General features: G+C 41.2%; 3 pseudogenes, besides 2 other annotated features; 2 read left to right on the forward strand and 1 right to left on the reverse strand.

Annotated features, from left to right (window-relative positions):
* The first annotated feature begins 4,446 nt into the window (after nt 1-4,446).
* SPRING1P1 (SPRING1 pseudogene 1) lies at nt 4,447-5,401 on the forward strand (annotated as a pseudogene).
* Nucleotides 8,544-8,979, forward strand: UQCRHP3 (ubiquinol-cytochrome c reductase hinge protein pseudogene 3; annotated as a pseudogene).
* Nucleotides 13,326-13,495: an enhancer, noted in NCBI's record as "experimental_12424 CRE fragment used in MPRA reporter constructs". NCBI's record gives its function as "activates a minimal promoter by MPRAs in K562 erythroleukemia cells, with activity observed for both the introgressed and non-introgressed 10:44232580 or rs17154237 variant alleles {active_cell/tissue: K562}" and the evidence as "EXISTENCE:reporter gene assay evidence [ECO:0000049][PMID:34662402]".
* Nucleotide 13,411: a transcriptional cis regulatory region, noted in NCBI's record as "Neanderthal adaptively introgressed variant 10:44232580 (GRCh37/hg19 assembly coordinates) or rs17154237 in the experimental_12424 CRE". NCBI's record gives its function as "modulates activity of the experimental_12424 enhancer by MPRAs in K562 erythroleukemia cells {active_cell/tissue: K562}" and the evidence as "EXISTENCE:reporter gene assay evidence [ECO:0000049][PMID:34662402]".
* On the reverse strand, nt 17,554-18,700 carry ELOCP30 (elongin C pseudogene 30; annotated as a pseudogene).

A 23,379-nucleotide genomic window follows, 5' to 3' on the forward strand; every position in this document is an offset into this window, starting at 1 on the left:
AGAGGGCTTAAGTCACAAGCTCTATCCACTAGACAAGTGTATGCAATATTCTTGTTTGTAGCACCAGGATTTTGAGTAAAATAGCCTTCTTCTTGGATGTCCTCACATTTGTTACCAGAATGCAAGACGAGAAGCTAAGAAGGAACTGGGTTGGACCCAGCAGAACTGAAATGATTTGCAGCCTCTACTCCTCTGATGACACTTTAATGTGACCTTGCATTCTTTGGCTTTCAGGCTTTTTCTCCTCCAACCCCAACTCTTGGGAAATTAACCTCTCTGAAGGCAAAGATACACATCTCATAAAGTTCTTTGGCACCCCAGCCATGTGGCTATAGATGAGGAGACTTTCAGTACCATGAGATCCAATGTCAATAATTTCATCCACTCATTCTTGCTGCACCTGCTTTGCTAAGCAATGTCCTGGGTGGTTTGAAGCCCAGAAAACTGAATCACACATGGAGTGAGACTCTGAGGAGCTAAAAGAAGTTGGTTTTATACATCATAAACCCAAGTGAAGAACCAAAGAAATGAACAATGTAGAAGGAGGCAATTGACAAAGATGAAAGTTAGAATTAATGACATTAAAATAGTAGCAGTAATAAATAAAACCAAAAACAGTTTTTACGGAAGACAAATTAAATATACAAAAGCTGATTCTTTCAAAAGACCAATTAAATTTACAAATACCCAACAAGCTTGATTAAGGAAAAGGAGAGAAAGCAAAACTAACTACAGATATAACAGAGATATTAAAAATTATAAGTAGTATAACATGTAACTCAATGACATCAAATATGAACAGAAATTATATAAGAAATAGATGATTTTCTAGGAAAAATGTAAACCACTGCTATGGTCTGAATGTTTGTGTCCCCTCCCAAATTCATACATTGAAGTCCTAACCCCAAGGTGATGGTATTTGAAGGTGAGCTCTTTAGGGGATGACTAGGTCATGGGAGTGGAGCTCTCATGAATGGGGTTAGTGCCCTTACAGAAGAGGCCCAAGAGAGACGCCTTACCCCATTCATCATGTGAGGACACAGCAAAAAAGTGCTGTCTACAAACCAGAAGGCAGGCTTTCACCAGACACCAAATCTGCTGCTTCCTTGATCTTGGACTTCCCAGCCTCCAGAGCTGTGAGAAACAAATTCCTGTTGTTTATAAGCTACCCACTTAATGAGATTTTGACAAAGCAGTCTGAATAGACTAAGATAATCACCAAAATTAACCTAAGAAGGAGGAGAATACTAAACAGATCTGTCACAAGTGACAGAAGAGGTGAGAAAAGTACTTAGATAGCTTTAATTAAAAACAATTCGGGCCAGGTGCGGTGGCTCACACCTGTGATCCCAGCACTTTGGGAGGCTGAGGCAGGCAGATCACGAGGTCAGGAGATCAAGACCATCCTGGCTAACATGGTGAAACCCTGTCTCTATTAAAAATACAAAAAAATTTAGCTGGGCGTGGTGGTGGGTGCCTGTAGTCCGAGCTACTCGGGAGGCTGAGGCAGGAGAATGGCATGAATCCGGGAGGCAGAGCCTGCAGTGAGCCAAGATCACTCCACTGCACTCCATCCTGGGCAACTGAGCAAGACTCTGTCTCAAAAAAAGAACCAAATTCAAATAGATTTTGAGAGGAGCTAATTATAGTATGTCATTTCTGTTTTAAGCTGTTTTAGATCATAGAAAAAGTTACAAAGTTCCACAATTTGTTTTATAAGGCTACTGCAACCATAATTCCAAACCTATAACAAGACCATTTTCACTTACAACTATAGATAAAAATTCTAAATAATTAACTATACTTATCTAGCAGCATATTTATAGACTGATACAAAGTAATCTGATAGAATATTAAAAATGGAATAATTACCACCTGGAGAGGAGGAAGAAGATACTGAAAAAGTACTCCAAGAAATAATGGTTGAAAACTTCCAAAATTTGGTGAAGTCCAGAAACCTACAAAACTCCAGAAGTTGAGTGAACCCCAAACAGGATAAACCCAAAGAGATCCACACCAAGGCACACCCCAGTCAAACTTCTGAAAACTAAAGACAGAAAAGTCTTGAAAGCAACAAGAGAGAAAAACACCTCCTTACCCACAGGGAAAAACAGTTCAAATGACAATAGATTAATCAAGATCAAACCTCCAACACTAGAAAGAAGTGGCATAACAAGTGCTGAAAAAGAGAACTGTCAACCCAGAATCTTATATTCAGTGAAAATATCCTTCACGAATGAAGGGAAAATCAAAACATTAAAGATGAAGGAAAGCTAAGATAATTTGTTGCCAGCAGACCTACCCTAAAAGATTGGCTATAGGAAGTTCTCTAAACAGGAAATGATAAGAAAAATCTGAGAACATCAGGAAGAAAGCAAGAACAGGATGAACAAAAATATGGTTAAGCCCAATAGTCTTTTCTTCTCCTAAGTTTTCTAGTTTGTTTGACAACTAAAACAAAAATTATAACTCTAATATAGTTCTACCAGCATGTGAAGAGGATGTCAGTGGGGATGGTGGAGCAAGGATCTCAAACCCCTCTCCTCCTCTTTATAAAACTAGCAATAATACTGCTAAGAATTGTGAAAATTAACTTTTTCAGAACTCTGGAAACTAACAAAGCTTGTCACAATCTGGAAAGCACTTACTCAAGAAAAACACTAAGTTGTGGTAAGAATAGCAAGCTTTGTAACATTTTAACGAGCCCTATTTCTGTCTTCCCTGTACAGCTTGGCAGTAGCCTTGGAAGCCAACAGCCCACAGCAGAGGTAAAAGACAGCAGCCCAGCAGCCAGTGGAGGGGCCAGAATGGGGCTGCAGCTTCTCCAAAGACCCATTCCCAGAGAACTGCCATTGTTTGACCTGCTAGTCATTCCCCACTCATAAGAGTTGTCTTTATTTGGTCTGACTCAGAGCTTGCCCAGTGCAAATAACCTTTTCCTCAGTGACATTTGTCAAAAACAATCAGTGGTGATGGTTTAGCATCACTGCTGCCTGAGGTGATGATAATAGTTGGGGCAAATGACAAGCTGACCATAAAAACCCAAAGGGAAAAGCTAGAGACTGAGATGTCCAAAGGAGGCTTTGAAAAACTCTGACACATCCTAGGAACCTGGAAGGCCACTTGCATGAACAGGGTTGTGCAAATGCCCAGGGCCGTGCATGTGTTCAGGAAAGAGCTGAGAAGCTCTAAGTTCTCACTTCTGGCTGATATTGAGGTCCTGAAGAGCAAAAAGGAGAGCCTAAGGCAGAGCTGTCAACTACTTGGCTGAGTGTAGAAGGCATTTCCCAAAACGTACTCACAATCCCTTGGCAACGACTGGGAGACTTACTGGCTTCAGACAGTTAAGAAAATCTATGCACAATTGTGAGCTGCCCACTGAGCTAACTGAGCAGTGACTTCTGCGGTCATTTATGACAAAAAGGCAGAGTCTACAATATTAATTCAGGAAAGTCACTAAAACAAACAAACAGCAGCAGCAAGAACAACAATAAGTGGCAACAAAAAGAAATCCCAGGGAGTGGAGAGAACCTGAATTTCAGAGCAGCCACATTACATCATTTGAAATGTCCAGTTTCAACATTCAAAGAAACAAGAAAATATGGTCCGTGTACAGGGGTACAAAGCAGTCAACAGAAACTGTCCTTGAGGAAGTCTATACATTGTCCTTACTAAATAATACCGAAGCTATTTTAAATATAAAGAACTAAGGAAACCATATCTAAAGAACTAAAGGAAAGTATGAGAATAATGTTTCATCAAATAGAGAATATCAACAAGAGATAGAATTATACAAAAAAACAATAGAAATTCTAGCGATGAAAATAATAACTCAATTGAAAAAAGTTCACTAGAGAGGCTGAATGGGATATTTGGGCTGGTAAAAGAATCAGTGAAGTTAAAGGTAGGTCAATTGAAAATATACAGTCTAAGGAATAGAAAGAAAAAAGAATAAAGAAAAAGAAACAGAGCCTAAGAGATCTGTGGGACACGATCAAGCATACACAATATGTATAATGAGAGTCCCGGAAGGAGATGAGGGAAAGGGGTGGTAAAAATACATGAAGAAATAAGGGCTAAACCCCCACAAATTTGATGAAAAACTTTCATCTCTACATGCAAGAAGCTCAGTGATCTCCAAGTACAATAAACGCAGAGATTCACACCTCCGCACCTCATAAACAAACTGGCAAAAACAAAGACAAAGAGAGAATCTTGAAAGCAGCAAGAGAGAAGTGATTTATCACTACCTGTGATCCTCAATGAGATTAACGGTTAATTTTTTAAAAATCAGAAATGGGGAACAGAAGGCAGTGGGATGACGTATTCAAAATGCTGAAGGAAAAACACGTCAACTGCCCATGCGGGGCGGCGCCCGCCTGGAGGGTGGGGATGCGGGGCGCGGAGGGGCCATGCGCCTGGGTCTGCACCTGCCTCGTTCTGCGCCCCGCGTGTGCACGCGAGATGGTGAACCTGGCGGGCACCGTGTGCCCTGGCTTCTGCAGAAGAGGAGGAGAGGGCAGTGAGAGATAGGAATCTCCTCCAGGTTGAAGACCACGATCAGCCCATCCCTTGGAAAGTGCAGTTTAACCTGGGCTATAGCAGTCGCCTGAGCAGCCAATGCCTCAACTCCAGTCAAAGGAAGCACGTCCTCACGGGTGAACTAGGCTGCGTTTGGGAGAGAAAGTATTTGCAGGCGCATGGCTGCGGTCAAGTCAACGTCCCTAGCATAAAGCAACACTGCCGCAAAGGCTGCTGGCCCGACGGCTGCTGCAGCGCCTCCTGGACTGCATCTCCCGCCGCCTGCAGCCCAGACACAATTTCTCCCGGAGCGCTTCTAACCGCGCAGCGGTGGCGTTCCAGAGACTCTTCATGGCCCTTGCTCTCGAGGATCCCTTGGAGTCGTGCCTGGCCGAATGCAGAGCCTCATTCCAGAGCTTGCAGCATGAGAACACCTACCGGGACCCCTAGCAAAGTACTGCCGTGGAGTCAGCCCCGGAGCTCTTTGCCTCTGGATGGGCAGCGGACTTGCCCCAGCTTGGGTGGGGAGGCCCCGCGAAGAACTCGCCTCGTGAGGTCCGGCTGCAGGGCTCAGGCCAGGCAGTGGGAAGAAGACAAAGGCAGCGCGAGGAAACCTTGGCTTTGACCACTTTTCGTTTGTCATCTTGGCTTAGCTCAGCACCGGGCTTACCAGATGGAACAGTCTTCTGTAAAGCAGCTTGGACCCTCTGGCCATTCCCATTGGGGAAAGATGAAACCACAGGCCGGTGGGGGTGGTGCGTTCTTGGACGACTCAAACCTGGGATCTGCACAGGGACCTGTGACTTGTGTTCGTCGGGAGCCGGTGTCACTTCCAGTTTTGATCCAGGCCCTTTCACTGTACAATTATTTATTGGATTCCTTTGGAGTAGTGGGAAAATTGTAATGTTTTATGTAGAAAAATGCTTTGCCCTTCTAGCGACCGTGTTCAAGGAAACGATTATAGTTGTTGTTCTTGTGTTCTTGAGTTTCACGAGTTAAATCATCCTTTCACCCAGATAATATGTTTTGTCATTTAGGATGTAGATGTTCTCTTTAGGCAGTTATTTTTGTTTTTATTTAGACAATATCAAGAGTAGGCCCTGAACACAACCTGTTAACCATATCCCAATGTCTAAAATTATCTAAAAACTCAGGCATTCTTCCATTCTTATCTAACTGAAAGCTTTCCAGCAGTTGGCACCAAGTGCGCACCCTCAGGTTCTATTCTAGTGGTGGTTGAATGTGCTCATATACCCCGTGTGAGAGCACCGTTTTAGCCCGAAATCACACTTCTCATCCTGGAGGAATTTGTTTGCATTTCTTTTGCCACTTAAAATTAGCTGTGGTCTGCTCAGCCAGGGGACAATGGAGCTTCAGGAAGGTCTGAGGCAACCTCCTCCCTGGTTCTGTCAATAGAAACCCAATGTTAAGGCAATTCCTAAACAGAGATGCACCTAGCAACTTGCTGTATGTGTTCATTCTTTATTGCTTTCAGCTTCAGGGGGTGTAACAAGTATAAATGTTTGGTTTCCTTATGAGGAAGAAGAGGAAGAAGAAGAAGGAGAAGGAGAAGAAGGGGAGAAGGAAGAAGAAGAAGAAGAAGGAGAAGGAGAAGAAGGGGAGGAGGAAGAAGAAGAAGAAAAGAGAAGAGAAGAAGAAGAAGATGAAGAAGAAGGGGAAGAAGAAGAAGAAGGAGAAGGAGAAGAGGAAGAAGAAGAAGAAGAAGAAGAAGGAAGAAGAAGAAGAAGAAGAAGAAGAAGAAGAAGAAGAAGAAGAAGAAGAAGAAGAAGAAGAAGAAGAAGAAGAAGAAGAAGACAGGCGAGGGGGAAGACCCAACTTTCTATCAAAGTTCTGTAAGAGATTTCTTCTTACAGACTGGAAGGTTTCTTCTTTTTTCTAAGCTAGAGTGCAGTGGCACGATCTCGGCTCACAGCAACCTCTGACTTCCTGTTTCAAGCGATTTTTCTGCCTCAGCCTCCTGAGTAGCTGGGATTACAGGCGTGCACCACCACACCCAGCTAATTTTTTTATTTTTAGTAGAGACGGGATTTCACCATGTTGTCCAGGATTGTCTTGATCTCCTGACGTCGCGATCTGCCCACCTCGACCTCCCAAAGTACTGGGATTACAGGTGTGAGCCACTGCGCCCAGCCAGAGATTCTTACATCTACCTCCAGTGGGAGATGAGGAAGATCATTATGGCTTAGACAATGCTGCACAGGTAGGTTGCTGGTATGTCCTGAATCCATGTGCATAAAGCACTTCCCATTTTTCTACTGCAATGCAGACTCTTCAGCTCAAGGCCTAGAGTATTTGATCCTAAGATCAAGACATTATGCCCCTTGAATAGCAGTGCTCTTTGATTTCATGTGTAACATTAACACACAGCCCTCCTATATTCCTTCACTAACTTCAGGATTGAGCAAGGTCTTTTAAATTTTTTTGGTTCAAATTATTGACCTGGGAGCAGGGTGCTAGATCTATGGTCAGCATTCAACATTTTTTTTTCAGTGGAGGTTTTTCTTTGGGCTATATTTGCCTTCCAGTATGTTTCTGCAATATGTAGTGGTAATTTTCCTTACCTTCCTCCAACTGCCTCTTATACTCATCTTTCGAAAATAATTTGCCCCCCTTAAATAGATTTTCTTAGAGGGTAGGTTGTCAGGCAATTAAAAAATATTAGATCCCAAGAAATCTATTCTGTTTGCATTGGATTTTTTTCAGATTCTGTGTGTTCGCAACAGTACTAAATCAAACTCTGATGTGGGGGAAAAAAGTATGTCAACCAAAAATTTTATATACAGCAAAATCATTCTTCAAAAACAGAGATGAAATTAAGACGTTCTCAGGTAAATTTAAGAGATGAAGTTTGTCATTAGTAGACCTGCCCCCCCACAATGCTAAAGGGAGTCCTTCAGGATAAAATGAAAGGACACTAGGTAGTAGGTCAAATCCACACGAAGAAATACAAGCACCTCATAGGTAAATATAAAATATGGTATAATGTTTTTTCTTTTTTTTCTCATTTTTGATTTAAAAGTCAATGCAATAAAGTAATAATTATAACACAGTGTTAATGGGTGTACAAAAAGATGTAATTTCTATGATGACAATTGCACAAAGAAAGAAATGAAGAGAATGGAGCTATATAGAAGCAAAAGTTTTTATATACCATTAAAATTAAGTTGATATTAACTTGGACTAGATTGTTAGAATGAAGTATAATCCCCATAGCAATCACTAAGAAAAATAACTCAAAAACAATCTTAAGGAAACAAGGGAATTAAAATGGTACATTAGAAAATATCTATTTAACATAAAAGATGGAGAGACAAACTTTACATGTTTGTAGATGAAATAATGATGTAACAGAGCTTGATCCAGTTTTTTGATGTTTGATGGTTGACAGCTTTGAAGCCTCATCCTTCCTCCTTCTGTTTCTGCTTCACATCTGGGCAAACTGATAAGAAAGCCTGGGTTCTCCCTCCTTCAGCCAGGGGAGGTTTACCACATGTAGGAACCTACACTGAGGCCCTACTCGCTAACAACCATAAATACCCCAAGCTTTTCTCTGCTCTCTCAAGCCATTTTTGGCACTGCTTGTGAGCCGCGGTGCTCTTTTCAGAAAGCCTCATTATGTGAGTCACGAACCGTTCCATTTTCTCTTGGGGTCAATATAGTATCATTAGTCTTGACATCTAAATCAAATTTTGGAAGGGATTCATCCTATGCAGGGTGAACATAAACAACTCAAGACAATTATAAATGGAGGGGGGTAAATTGACTTATAAAAAATAGATGCTTATACTTCACTTGAACTGATGAAATAATGACATCATTAGAGTGTGATATTTTGTATATATGGTATAATACTACAGCAGCCATATACACAAAAGCTACTCAAAGAGCTGCACATTCAAAAACAGTATAAAGCAAAATAGAATTCTGAAAGTTCAAGTAACCCACAGCAAAGCAAGTAAAAGAAAACAGAGAAATAAAAAACAAAACAAAATATTCAAGTCCTTTTTGATCCTGAAGTCAATTAGGTGCCGCTGTTGCTGCTCATATTGACTCTGGAACCGTAGCCAGACATGGGACTGGAGGATGAGCAAAAGATGCTGAGCAGGTCCTGAGATCCTAAGGAGGAGGAAGAGGAAGAGGAGGAATGAGTGAATCCCCTAACAACCGTGAGATAGCAATGTGAGCAGTTGGAGAAATGTGTAAAGGCCTGGAAGCAGCTAGAGCTCTGTGACAAGCGTGTTATCCTCTCGATCACATACAGAAGAGGATTGCAAGAGGAGCTCTTTGACTTCTTGCATGCAAGGGACCATTGCTTTGCCCACAAACTCCTTAACAACTTGAAATAAATGTGAGGACTTATTCACCCCAGCCTTCATCACCTGGGCATCAGGATATTTCTTTATGGTTTTGAATATGCCATTTGTTTCTTTTTTTTTTCTTTTTTAAAATTGTCATTATACTTTAAGTTTTAGGGTACATGTGCACAACATGCAGGTTTGTTACATATGTATACATGTGCCACGTTGGTGTGCTGCACCCATCAACTCATCATTTAGCATTAGGTGTTTCTCCCAGTGCTATCCCTCCCCCCTCCCCCCACCCCACAACAGTCCCCGGTGTGTGATGTTCCCCTTCCTGTGTCCATGTGTTCTCATTGTTCAATTCCCACCTATGAGTGAGAACATGCAGTGTTTGGTTTTTTGTCCTTGCGATAGTTTGCTGAGAATGATGGTTTCCAGCTTCATCCATGTCCCTACAAAGGACATGAACTCATCATTTTTTATGGCTGCATAGTATTCCATGGTGTATATGTGCCACATTTTCTTAATCCAGTCTATCACTGTTGGACATTTGGTGCTGGAGAGGATGTGGAGAAATAGGAACACTTTTACACTGTTGGTGGGACTGTAAACTAGGTCAACCATTGTGGAAGTCGGTGTGGTGATTCCTCAGGGATCTAGAACTAGAAATACCATTTGACCCAGCCATCCCATTACTGGGTATATACCCAAAGGATTGTAAATCAGACTGCTATAAAGATACACGCACACATATGTTTATTGCCATTTGTTTCTTATTTGTATAACTAAGTTCATATGAACCTCATAGATTTTGGCTTAGGCTAGTAGCTTCTAGGTAATTTGCAGTGATTCCATCTTAATAAAGTTCTGTGATCTGCAAAAAAATAAAGTGGCAGCCTTAAGTCCTAACACACCATTAATGATATTAAATATAAATAGTCTTAATGCAGCAATAAAAAGCAGAGATTGACAGTGTGAATTAAAAAGCAGGGCTCAAGTGTATGTTATCTGCAGGAAACTCACTTCAAAATAATGATACAGGCAGTTTGAAAACAAAAAAATGGAAAAAGATATCTATACAAACATTAATCAAAAGAAAGTAGGAATGGCTATATTAATAAATGATAAAGTAGATTTCAGAGCAAAGAAAATTACCAGAGGCAGAGAGGAACATTATTAATGATGAAGGGTCAGTACACCAAGAAGACAGCCATTTAAAAGAGCTACAAAATGTGTGAAGCAAAAACTGATGGAACTTAAAGGAGAACTAGACAAATCTACAATTATAGTTGAAGACTTCAGTGTCCCTCACTCAACAATTGCTAGAATAACTAGACATAAAATCAGTAAGGATATAAAAGAACTCAAAAACTCCCTCAACCAACAGTATATGGTTAATATTTATAGAATAATCTGTCTAGCAACAGCAGAACACACATTTTTTTCAGGCCCACAAAGTAGATAGCAGCATAGAACATATGCTGAACCATAAAACAAACCTTAACAAATTTAGAAGAATTGAAATCATACAGAACACATTATCTAATGTTATGGAATCAAACTCGAAATCAATACAGAAAAATGATCAGAAAATTTCCGAACACATGGAAACGCAACAGCATACTTGTAAAAATCCCACGGGACAAAGAGGAAATCTTGAAGGAATTAAAAAATACACTGAACTGAGGGAAAATGAAAACACAACATATCAAAATGTGTGGGTGCACATCTACGGCAGTGCTGAGAGCAACGTTTGTATCTCTTAACACATGCACTAGAAAAGGAGAAAATTGAAAATCGATAATCCGAGCTCCTGACTCAAGACGTTTGAAAACTTCAAAATGTAAGCAGAAGGAAGGAAAAAATAAAGAACAGATATCAATGAGATTGAAAGCAGAAAAACAATAGAAAAAAAATCAATGAAACAAAAATGATTCTTTGAAGAGATCAATAAAATTGATAAACCTCTAGAAAGACTGGCAAAGAAAGAATAAATACACAAATTACAAATATCAGGAGTGAAACCTGATATATCACTGCAGACCCGTAGACATTAATATGATGTGGGTTACTATGAACAACTCTACACATGCAAATTTGACAACGTAGATGAAATGAACTAATTCATCAGAAAACACAAATTTCTGCAACTTTGCCAATGTGAAATAGTTATTTTGATCAGTGTTGTAACTTAAAGAAAATTGAATTTGTAATTAAACATCTCCTAAAAAGGAAATTTCCAAGCCCAGATAGTTTCACTGGATACTTCTACCAAATGTTTAAGGGTGAATTGACACCAATTCTATACAAAAATCTTTTCCAGAAAATGTAAGGGAACACCAGTTCATCTTTGTGAAGTGAGTAATACCAAAACCAGACTGGTCTCATACCAAAACCAGACATAGTACAAAATCTTAGAGAACAGAATTCAGCAATTTATAAAAAGAAATATGCACAAATTTCAAGTGGGATTTTTTTTCTAGGTATACAATGATGATTTAATATTAAAAAAGTCATCAGTGTAATTCACCAGAGTAACAGACTAAAGTTGATGTGGAAAAAAGAATTTGCCAAAATCTAATATTCACTTATGATGAAAAACTCTCAGAAAAAATAGGAAGAGAGGGAGAACATCCTCAATTTGATAAAGAGCATTTATCAAAAAAATTGCAGTTAGCATTATGTTTAATGGTGCTTTCCTTCTAAGACAGGGGAAAGGCAAGGATGTCTGTACTCACCACTTTTATTCAGCATTGTGCTGGAAGCTCTAGCCAGTACAATAATGCAAGAAAAGGATATAAAAGACATGCAGATTTGAAAGAAAAAATAAAACTGTCTCCATTTGCAAATGACATGATTAGCTCTATAGAAAATCCCAAGGAACCTGCGAGACCCTCCTAGAAACAAAGTGAGCTCAGCAATGTTGCAGGACAGCCCCATGAAGGAGGGGTTGGGGTATGGACTCTGGATTGGCTGCTTTGCACGTGAAAGGTGTGTACGGTCGAGCTGTTTCCAATCTTTAGGAACTGGCTAACGCTGGGAGGGGCAGCCCCTTTGGGGTCAGCAAGGCCCCAGATGTCAAAAACATGAGAATACAGAAAATAAAGGATGTGGTTACTACATCCAGGCTCACTGATGGCTGGCTTTTCTTCATCCTGCCGGTCTCAGCTTAATTGTCACCTTTTCAGAGACAGCTTCTGGGGAACCATGCAGCCCAGATGCCCCCACCCACATCATACTCCAAGCAGCACCCTGTTTGTTTCATTCACAGCCTTCACATTTTTAGTTACTTGTCTGTTACATGTGTGTGCCCTCTGTGAGCGCAGAACCATGCCTGCCTTATTCATTGTTAAATCCCCAGGGCCTGGCAGAGGACCTTGCACATAAAGGGCACCCAATAAATATTTCTGTAATGAAAAAAACAAATGCATGAGGATCACAGAGCTTAAGTGGCTTTCCAAGGTTGTATAGCTGGTAAATAGAGAAAGCAGCAGATGAGCAGAGTTCTCTGGACTTCAGTTTTGTTTATTTTTTACTCTGACACATTATAGTGCTTCTCAAAGCCACGAGTGCATCATGAGCCAGACTTGCCTGGCATTTAGGCCCTCCGAGAAGCTCTAGCCATGGCACTGCCTGGTCCCATTGGGTGTGAGGGGCTGAGTCCCCTGATTCTGAGGGAGGCTGTGCAGCTCTGCAGAGGGTCTGGAACAGAACTGCTGTCCCCTCACCAGGGCCCCCTAGTCCCCACTGATGACCAGTCAGACTTGTGTGAAATTTCAGATTAAGCCCATCCCAAGGGCTCAAAACATATTTGATTCTGTAGGCCTGTCAGAGTTGCCAGATTTGGCAAATAAAAACATAGGATTCTTAGTTAGATCTAAATTTCAGGTAAGCAACAAATATTTTATTAAATAAAAGTATGTCTCAAATATTACATGGAACATATTTAGAATAAACCACAATTCGCAGTTTATCTGAAGTTCATATTTACCTGGGAATCCTGTCTGTAAGCTGGCTGCCTTCCTGGTGGCATGTTCCAGGAGACTGGATTTTTAAAATAGATTCCTCAGTTGATTTCTCTCATCAACCATGTTGGAAACAATTGCTAATGCCAATCAGTAATCCACTAGATGCCATTTTTGCTCAAGTTATTAACTGGCAAGTTTATACATTTTTATTTAATTTACGGATCTGGAGTCCTTGTCATTCATTAACAGTGTCTCTCACTGGCACAGGAGACTGGAGAAATCACCATTTTTCCAGGGTTTATAATTTATAGAGGAAATTCCTGATAGACAGAGATGGGGTGAGCTAGCCTTGAAGACAGGCAAAAGGACTTCCTGCCAACTGCCCTGTGTGCTCTGCTCCTGCAGGAAGGTTACTGGGCTTGTCAGCCATTAGAAGGGGGCAATATCAGAGAATGACGGGGTGATCCTGTGTTTTCTCTTGGGGTGGGTGGGTAGATAATGGCCCCAACAACCAGAACTGGGGACACAAAGAAGTGTCTTTAGGTAAGAAAGACACAGTGAGATGGTTTTGGAGATGTTCATATCTCCTTTGTGCATGCAGGTGGAGGCATTTACCAGGCAGGCCAGTGCTGGGTCTGCATTTGGGAGCACAGCTGGAGCTGGAAGCATGTGTCTGGAAGTCGTCAGTGTGCTGGTGGTAGGTGACACTGGGCTGTGAGTGCAATCGTCTAAGAGCAAGGACAGGGCCTAGGAAAGTGTGGGAACAGCCAGCTCCCTTCCTGTTCATGCTGTCCTTTCCCTGTCCACCTCACCGGCTGCAATCCATGCACAGAGTTCCACCCAGTCCCACTGTAGGGGGCTGCCCTGGTGCCCACACACACCCTGTAACCCCAGGGCTTTATTTGAGACAAACATGGTTGAGTGTGATCATGATGCTGGGATTATGATCCTCGAGACCTACTCACTGAAGCTGAAACACTGCCCCAATCTTCTGCACAGTGAAGGGGGCCATAACAAGAATCTCTGTTACACATATGGAAAAATGATCACATTTATGGGTTACTCAAAGACCACAGTCTACGAAAAGACATATGGGAAGGATAAATGAACCGGAACTTAAAGGTGTTCTTCCCCTGACCTCTAGAAATGTTGGGCAAGTTCACTTCACCTCTCCGTATTCTGTCTCCTCACCTGCAATGGTGTAAGTGTGATGCCTTCCTTGGAGGGCTGCTCTAAGGGTTAAATAAATGTATGTGAGTACACATATATATGTATATATTGATGTATATGCATATGTGTGTATATATGTCTATGTATGTAAATACACATAGACACATGGTGTTTAGAATAAGCTCTGACATGTACACTCGATAAATATTAGCTATGTATATGTTGAATTGTGTTAAATCGTATGTAACTCTTCCATTCCTTTTTAACAAGTTTGTGGAGGCTTTTGTGTTCTGTTCAGGCCAGGGTGGAGGCAGGCAGACAGGTTGAAACCCATATTTCTGCTGGCTTAGGATTGGGGCCTCTTGTCATCTGGTGTTCATTTGTTTTTATGAGTCCAGAGCAGGATAAACTCTTCAGCCTCTCTCTTACCCTCAGTGGAAAGAGCCCTGGGCTGAGAAAAGGAAATACTGGTGTTTATCCACTTCCACTGGTGAAATGGGAGAGAACACGGTGTGTTTGAGAGGGGGCAGCAAGTGTAGCGGGTGCTATTGTGTTCCCCAGGTGCCCCTCAGGACTGAGGCACTCCATGCCGGAAGCTGACAGTTCTCAGCCAAATTCCTCTCTGGAGGTTGCTCTCTGGCTTGCCCAACCTATCCACTTCTTGTGGGCAGCCCCCATCCAATAACTGGTTGAGGAGGAGAGGAGTCTACAGGCCCTGACTTTGGCCTCAAGATGGGAGAACACCAAAGAGCCATTCCAGATCCAAAAATTCTTGAAGCTCAGCTTTCCATTGAAACCACCTTGCAGTTCAACTTCCTTTGCACAGTTTTGCTTTTCTCACCCCTTATAGATGTGACTGTTAAGAGTAATTCCTAACAAACCTTCTGCATACAAATTTCAGAGCTTTAGAGACTCTTTTTTTTTGGTAATCCCAACCTATGATAATTGGTACCAGAAATGGTCCTACAAAGCACAACCTAAATTTGGGTTTTGAAGATAGACCATCCATTGGCTTACTGGCAATGAAGACCACATCACTGGTCTAAGTGTACCCTGATAGTCCCAGTGCCAAATTGGGGAACAATTGTTGAGATTTTCAACAGTGGTAGACTGAGATTGGGTGCTGGTGGGAGAAAGCATATGGCAAGTGTGACATCTCAGGTGGTCATCTTGGGAGTCTGGGGGCTGGAGATAGTCATTATAAGGATGTTGGAACCAAGTGTCCATTCCTTGAGGCCATCAACACCTTGGAGAAAAACAATGACAGTCTGAAGATGAGAAATCACCAGTGTAAGGCGAAGTATGAAAGCCAGAGAATCTCCCTGGCTGCACATGGGAACTCTCATTTCTTTCAGTCAAAATGCAGAAAAGCAGAGGAGAAAGAGAGCTCCAGAGAAAGTTCGGTTTTCAGCATTTGTAGGTCTGCTCCATGCAGATGAGGGCTTTGATTGGGAAGGAGTGAGATACTGAGTTTGGAATAAGGGCTTGTATGGACATAAGTTTTTGTTTTTCTTGGGTAAATATGTGAAAGTGGAATTTCTGGGTCATATGGTAGGTTTAAGTTTAACTTTTTCAGAAACTGCCAAATTGTTTTCCAAAGTGGTTTTACTATTTTACATTCCTACTAGCAATGTATGACAGCGCCAATGGCTGTATATCCCTGCCAAACTTGTATTGTCAGTCTCCAATTTTAGCCATTTCAACTGCTCTGTAGCATCTCAATGTGGTTTTAATTTGCACTTCCCTATTGACTGAAAATACTGAGGGCTGTTTCATAGGCTTACTTACCATGTGTATTTCTTCTTTTGTGAAATATCTATCCAAATATTTTGTCCATTTTAAATTGGGTTGTCTTCTTGTTGAGTTGGAAGAGTTCTATGGATTCAAGTTCTTTGTCAGATGTATGACTGAAGAATATGTTCTCCCAGTCAGTAGCTTACCTCTTTTCATTTCCTAAAACTCCTATCTGTAGCAGAATTTCATTTTCTTGATGATGTGTCCCTTCTTTCACTCTTGTCCATTATCCACTCAGCAGCAAATTTTGTGGAGAGATCCTCAAACGATGTTCAGGATCCAGTCCCTTCTCACTGTTTCCGCCACTCTCCCTGAGCTTTCCCAAGTCTGCATCGCCTCTCCCTGGATCACTGCAATGGCCTCTTTATGGTCCTCCTTGCCTCCACTCTTGTCTCCTTGTAGCTACTGCCGATACAGCAGGCAGCCTGATCCTTGAAATGTAGACGATACGATGTCACTACATGCATCAAAACCCTGCATTGGTTCCCCATGTAATTGCAGTAAAACCCACAGATCTTACAAAAACCAACAAGGGCCTCCGTGGTCTGATGTCCCGTCCCATGCCTGACCTCATCTCTTTTTTGTTCAACTCTACTGCAGCCATACTGGACTCCTTGCTGTTTCTCCAATGTGCAAGGCACACTCCTGTCTTGCACACTTAAAAAAATTGAAATGTAACTTACACACATACATTTCACCCTCTTAAAGTATAATTCAGTGTTTTTTTTTTTACCGTATTCACAAGGGACTCCAACATCTACACTCATTCCAGAACATTTTCATCATTCCCAGAAGAAATCCCATCCCCATTGTCTCCTGCCTTTTTTTGTGTGTGTGGAAATTGCAAAGGAAACTTTATAGACAATGAAAATATAGTACTTTGATTGCTCAAAATGTATAATGTGCTAGAACTTGAAATTATGTAGTTTACTTGTTGACCATCTGGCTACAGTTCAGTTACTGCTTCAAAAGCTAAACTTAATAATCTTCCTAAGCTGCTTAAAATAAAGTTCTTAAATTATAGCAATAAAGAAAAGGAAACAATTAATATTGCAGTTTGTCAAAAAACTTGTATGAAATTTCAACTCTTATTCTTAAAAAGTTATAAAAATTGATGTTTTGGCTAAGTTATAAACATGCTTATAATGCAATTATTTGTGTAAGTCTAGTAATGCTTATGGTGGCTGTAAGATCAGAATAGATTCTTAAAAAACATAAAAAATAAAAATATTTATCCCCATTATTTATCTGTAGAATGTGCTTATATATGCCTAAATTTCAGCATTTACTATATCTTCATTGCTTTAATTTAAGAAGTCACATATGAAGAATAAGGCAAAAGCAGCTACAAGCTGGCATATTAGTTTATTTCTCAACTTGTAAAAATATTCTTAATTTGTTGATGTAGCAAACAAATTTCAACTCTGATTGCTTTGCAGAAAAACAACATAATCTTTACAATAAACTTTATGGTTGTTTTTTCTTTTTTTTTTTTTGAGATGGAGTCTGGCTCTGTCACCCAGGCTGGAGTGCATTGGCGCCATCTCTGCTCACTGCAACCTCCACCTCCTGGTTTCAAGTGATTCTCCTGCTTCAGCCTCCCAAGTAGCTGGGATTACAAGCATGTGCCACCACACCTGGCTAATTTTTGTATTATTAGTAGGGATGGAGTTTCAACATGTTGGCCAGGCTGGTCTCGAACTACTGACCTCAGGTGATTCGCCTGCCTTGGCCTCCCACAGTGCTGGGATTACAGACGTGAGCCACCGCGCCCGGTCTTGCAATGAACTTTATGGTTCAATTGCATACAGGCAACATGTTATATATGAAAAAATTACTAACTGAACTACAGGTATTAAATACTGAAAAAAGTTAGCAGTTTATTATGATTTGTTTTATTTAACAGTTTAGGAAATCATAGCCATCAGCTTTTCCAGTGGAATTCAGGAATCTCGGTGGAGCTGTTAGTGTAGCGAAACTTTATAGGTAAAATACACAAATATTTTTGATAGCACTGTTTTTTTTGCTCGTTAGTTGATGGAGTTTCTTCCTAGCCTTGATGGTCTTTACAATTTGGCATGTTTTTGCAGTGGCTGGTACTGGTTGTTCCTTTCCATGTTTAGTGCTTCCTTCAGGAGCTCTTGTAAGGCAGGCCTGGTGGTGACAAAATCTCTCAGCATTTGCTTGTCTGTAAAGTATTTTATTTCTCCTTCACTTATGAAGCTTAATTTGGCTGGATATGAGATTCTGGGTTGAAAATTCTTTTCTTTAAGAATGCTGAATGTTGGCCCCCACTCTCTTCTGGCTTGTAGAGTTTCTGCCAAGAGATCCGCTGTTAGTCTGATGGGCTTCCCTTTGTGGGTAACCCGATCTTTCTCTCTCTGGCTGCCCTTAACATTTTTTCCTTCATTTCAACTTTGGTGAACCTGACAATTATGTGTCTTGGAGTTGCTCTTCTCGAGCAGTATCTTTGTGGCGTTCTCTGTATTTCCTGAATTTGAAGGTTGGCCTGCCTTGCTAGATTGGGGAAGTTTTCCTGGATAGTATCCTGCAGAGTGTTCTCCAACTTGTTTCCATTCTCCCCGTCACTTTCAGGTACACCAATCAGACGTAGATTTGGTGATAGCACTGTTAAGGGATCTCTCTAAAATTAACTCACTGGTTTCATTCTCAAGCCATGTTGACTTGGGCCACTCAGCATGGCTTTTATCACGCCTGATGTTAATGCATGTTGTCTTTTTACAACAAATTCATGACCATCAGAAGATATCCATTTGACATATGTGGCATCAGGGCCTTAATAGCCACCATAGGTTTTCTCCTCTCCATCCATTATGTCCTTATGAAATTATACAGTTTTGGGAAAGTCTACCTCCAGACTTTTGCATTGCCTTTCCCCCACCTCGATTGCCCTCCATTCTTTCTTTGTCCATTTGTGTTGCTATAGAGAAGTACCTAAGCCTGGGTAATTTATAAAAAAAGAGGCTTATTTGGCTTATGGTTCTGCAGGCTGTACAGGAAATGCGGTGCCGTATCTGGTTGGCTTCTGGTGGGGGACTCAGGCTGCTTCCACTGATGGTGGGAGGTGAAGGGGAGAAGGCTGTGCAGAGGTCACATGGGGAGAGAGGAAGCAAGAGAGAGAGGGTAGTGCCTGGCTCTTCTTAATAGCCAGCTCTCATGTGAGAACTGACCCATTACCTCTAGGCCAGTGACAAGCCATTCACGAGGGATCCTCTCCCAAGACCCGAACACCTCTACCAGGCCCTGCCTTCAGCATCGGAATCAAATTTCGACATGAGGTTTGGAGGCGGGGCAAATATCCAAACTATAGCTCACTCCCTCACCTCCTTCAAGGCTTAACGCAAGTATCACTTTACCAAGGGGGCATTGTACCCCGACTACCCTGTTTAAAATCACTGTCTCCTCTACTTTTTCGTTTTTCCATTCTACTCATCATGTTCTAACATTCTGTGTATAGTTATTTATTCTCTTTATAATTTATTGCATTCTCTGGCAACAATGTAGGGACATTTGTGCTGTTCACTGGTGAAACCTAAGCACCTAGAACAGTGCCTGGCACACAGAACATGCTTATTAAACATTTACTGATGAGATGAACAAGCCAATGAAATCCTGAGTGAATGTCAACCACCTTTCTCGACATAAGTGTGACCGGGCACCCCAGGCCTCCCTTGAGGATAGTCCTAGCTGTTCTTTTTTCACCAAGCCCCAGATCTGACTTGAAGAGGCAATGCAGATATTTACTGAGGTTCTTGGGGGAGACGGAGGAGGAAGTGCTTACAACCAACATTGTCACCACATCTCTAATGGCCTCCTCTTTTCCTCAATTCTCCCCGTAGCAGCATACTCAGCTTTCCTATGTTTTTTCTTTTTTACAGAATCTCTCTCTCCTCCTTTTTTGCTGGCTCTCTGTGTCCTTCCTGACACTGCCCTTCATCTTGTACACCCATTCAGCAAGACAAAAAACTGGTCTGCTCAGCCAGACACCTGGTCACTTATTTCTTCCTAGACCAGGTCACTGATAGACAACAGGGGTATGTGGGGATTCTAGTACTCTGACATTTTGAGAATAGTCGACTCCACCCTCAAGTCCTTTCTACCTGGATGTGTGAGGCAGTTATTCCAGGTATCCACTGCTTGCCATTCTAAGCCTATGTCCTTAGCTCCTAAGAAGGTGTGAAATTCTTTCTTGTTTTGGAAAGCAAGGAAAGAATTAGAGAAGTCTCTTCTGATCCTTGTTCTTTGAAAAAAAGCACAAATGGGGTATTTCAAGAGGGAAGAATATGAGAGGCTGAGAAGCACATGGAACTGTAATGAGAGGCCTGCAGCTTCAAAGGTGAGTCTCTCCAGGAGGGGAAACCTGAGCCCCAGGCCTCGGGTTCCTTGCTGTCCAGGTTCTCATTCCTTCCATCTGCTTCACACTGCTTGGAGCGTGGTTTTGCTCACAGGCATGAGATGACCTGAAGACTGGGGTCTGTTTGCTGTGACTCTATGTTTTATCATTTGAATGGTTGCTTTAGCCTTCATAGTATACGTCCTTAGCTTATCATAGTTGATCTTTGAGTGTATTTATAGCACTTTATAGACGGTATTACAATCTCATGATAGTTATTCCCATTTTCCCCCTCCTGGCTTTTTGTGCTGTTGTCATACATTTTATGTCTACATATGTTGTAAATGACACAATTACATCATTATTATTTTTTAATAAGAATAAAACCTTATACAGTTACTCATGCAGTTAACAACTTCTGATACTCTTTATTCCTTTGCATAGATCCAGATTTCCATGCGGTCTCAATTTCCTTCTGCTGAGAAGTTTCCTTAACGTTTCTTTTAGTCCATGTTTGCTGGTGATGAATTCTTTTAGCTTTTTATTTCTGCAAACAGTCTTTATTTTTGAAACATATTTTTTGCTGGATATGGAACTCTACGCTGACATTTATGTCTTTAATCTGACTGTAATTTATATTTGTTTATGATAGTTAATAAAGTCCATTTTTGAAACTGTAAGTCTGATATTAAATTTCTAGGCACCCTGAAATAGATGGGATCCGGCGTTAACTAGGTCTTCTTTTGGTTTCAGCTCTACATAATGCTAATCTCCTTTTCTGATGCCTTTTTTCATTCAGTACTTTAAAAATGTTGCTTTATTTTTGCATTGTTTCAGACAAGAAATCTTCTGTCATCCTCATCTCTGTCTCTGTATGTAATATGTCTTTTTACTCTGGTTTAAGATTGTCTCTTTATCACTGTTTTTGAGCAACTTAATACTGAGATGTCTTGTAGTTTTCTTTAAGTTTCTTGGGCTTGGAGTTTGCTGAGTTTTTTTGATCTATGGGTTTATAGCTCTGATTGAATTTGGAAATTTTCAGCCATATTTCTTCAAATATTTTTTCTGTTCCACACCCTCTATTCATTTCAATTTTTGATTATTTTCTTTCTCTTGGTGTCTTATTTTGGATAGTTTCTCTTTCTTTAAGATCCCTAATATTTTCATCTGCAATGTCTAATCTGTTGTTAATCCCATCCAATATATTTTTCATTGTAACATCTCACACATTATAGTTTTTATCTCTAGAAGTTCAATTTGCCTCTTTTACAGATTCCATGTAGCTAACTTTTGCAAATACATAATGCAGTTATAATAACTGTTTTAGTGTCCTTGTTTGCTTATTTGAACATCTGTATCAGTTCTGGGCCAGTGTTGATTGGTTGATTTTTCTTCTCACTGTGTTTTCTGCTTCTTTGTTGCCTCAGCTTAGGAGTCCTGTATTCTCCTGCTATCCCTCTCCCTGCCCCATGGCTGGAGAGGTCTCCAGTAAGCTGGGGCAATCAGATGGGTCACCTCATTTGTGCCCATCTCTTGGGGATCACCGTCCTCCATTGCTTGTTGGCCAGTGTCTTAAAAACTATTTTTTCATATATTTTATTTATTATTTTTGTGGGTTCAGACAAGAGGGTAAATCAAGACCCGGTTACTCCCTCTTGGTCAGAAACGGAATCCACTTGCAACATGTAGATAATAGTAATTCTTTGATAGGGGTCAAATGTGCTAATAATTGTGAAGGGTGTAGTCTAGAACTTGGCAGAGAGTAAGTACTCAGTTAACATTAGATATTGCCACCACTGACAATGCTGTTACTACTGTTGCTGCCATTGCTGTTAGTAATTATCTCAAATGGATGAAATATGTTAATTCAAGTGCCTAGCCATGATCTGGTGGTTAGTAAGTCCTCTGTTAATATTCCTCCTTCTATTGCTGTGGGTGCCATGCTATTCCTACTATAACTGTTATTATTATTACAGTCAGACTAACAACCCTGGCCTCAGAGAGACTCACCGGCATGTAATAGAACCTGACAGATCTCTTCCCAGAGGTTATAACTAAGGGTGTTTCTGAGATGTGGAGTGAACATGAAACCTCTATTCCAAGCCTAGGTGGACAGATCCAGGTGAAACTTGCAGGGGATTCTTGCTTTGGTCTGGGAGATGTGTTTTTCCTAGAAGTTATAAAACAGCATTAAGAAATTTAGCTTCTCTGTTATATAGTCTCCTCAACACAAGCTATGCCTCCCTTGTGTCTCCCAGTTATCTCATTGTAATCTCCTAGATTTGAGAGGTGGGGGCAGGAAAGGGAGCTAGCGCCTGTTGAGGGCCTGCCATGCACCAGACGCTCCCTCTGATGCTGGAATGGCCATGTCCCTTAATTTCTGAGTCTTAATTTCATCAAGTATAAAATGGAGATAATTGTGCCAATCATACAGTGTTATTATGAGAATGAATTTAAACACGTATAAAGTGCTGCGGGTAGCGTTTGGCATTGTCTGTATTTGATACATTTTATCCATCATTATTATCTTCACAAAAATCCTACATTGTAGCTGGCGTTATTGTTCCCACTTACATAAGACACCTGATGGAGCCAATATCAGTCCCACAGGGAATGACAAGTCCATCCCTAAATGCCATTTGCTCATTCATTTTTGGAAATATACCGAGGCTCTCCCATATCGTAAGCCTGGGGTGCACAGGTTTCTCCCAGAGCACAAAGTGCAGACAGGCAGGTTAATTTACAAGTGTAGGCCAGGCGCGGTGGCTCTTGCCTGTAATCCCAGCACTTTGGGGGGCCGAGGTGGGCGGATCATGACGTCAGGAGTTCAAGACCAGCCTGGCCAAAAAGACCAGCCTGGCCAACATGGTGAAACCCAGTCTCTACTAAAAATACAAAAATTAGCTGGGCAGGGTGGTGGGCACCTGTAATCCCAGCTACTTGGGAGGCTGAGGCAGGAGAATTGCTTGAACCCGGGAGGTGGAGGTTGCAGTCAGCCAAGATCGTGCCACTGCACTCCAGCCTGTGTGACAGAGCGAGACTCTGACTCAAAAAAAAAAAAAAATTTGCAAGTGTAATAAAATATCATGGGAACACTGGTAAAAGCTTGTGTAGAAGGGACTGACTTTAAATGATTTTAGGAGAGGGAAGGTTGTAAGTAATCTTCACTTGGACAAATTTTTGAGCTGTGTTAGCGTTCATCTAATGGCAGGTGTGGGGAAGTGCATTCTGAGCAGAGAGAATGCTGAGT

The sequence above is a fragment of the Homo sapiens genome, chromosome 10, assembly GCF_000001405.40.
Source record: "Homo sapiens chromosome 10, GRCh38.p14 Primary Assembly".
Taxonomy (NCBI): Eukaryota; Metazoa; Chordata; class Mammalia; order Primates; family Hominidae; genus Homo; species Homo sapiens.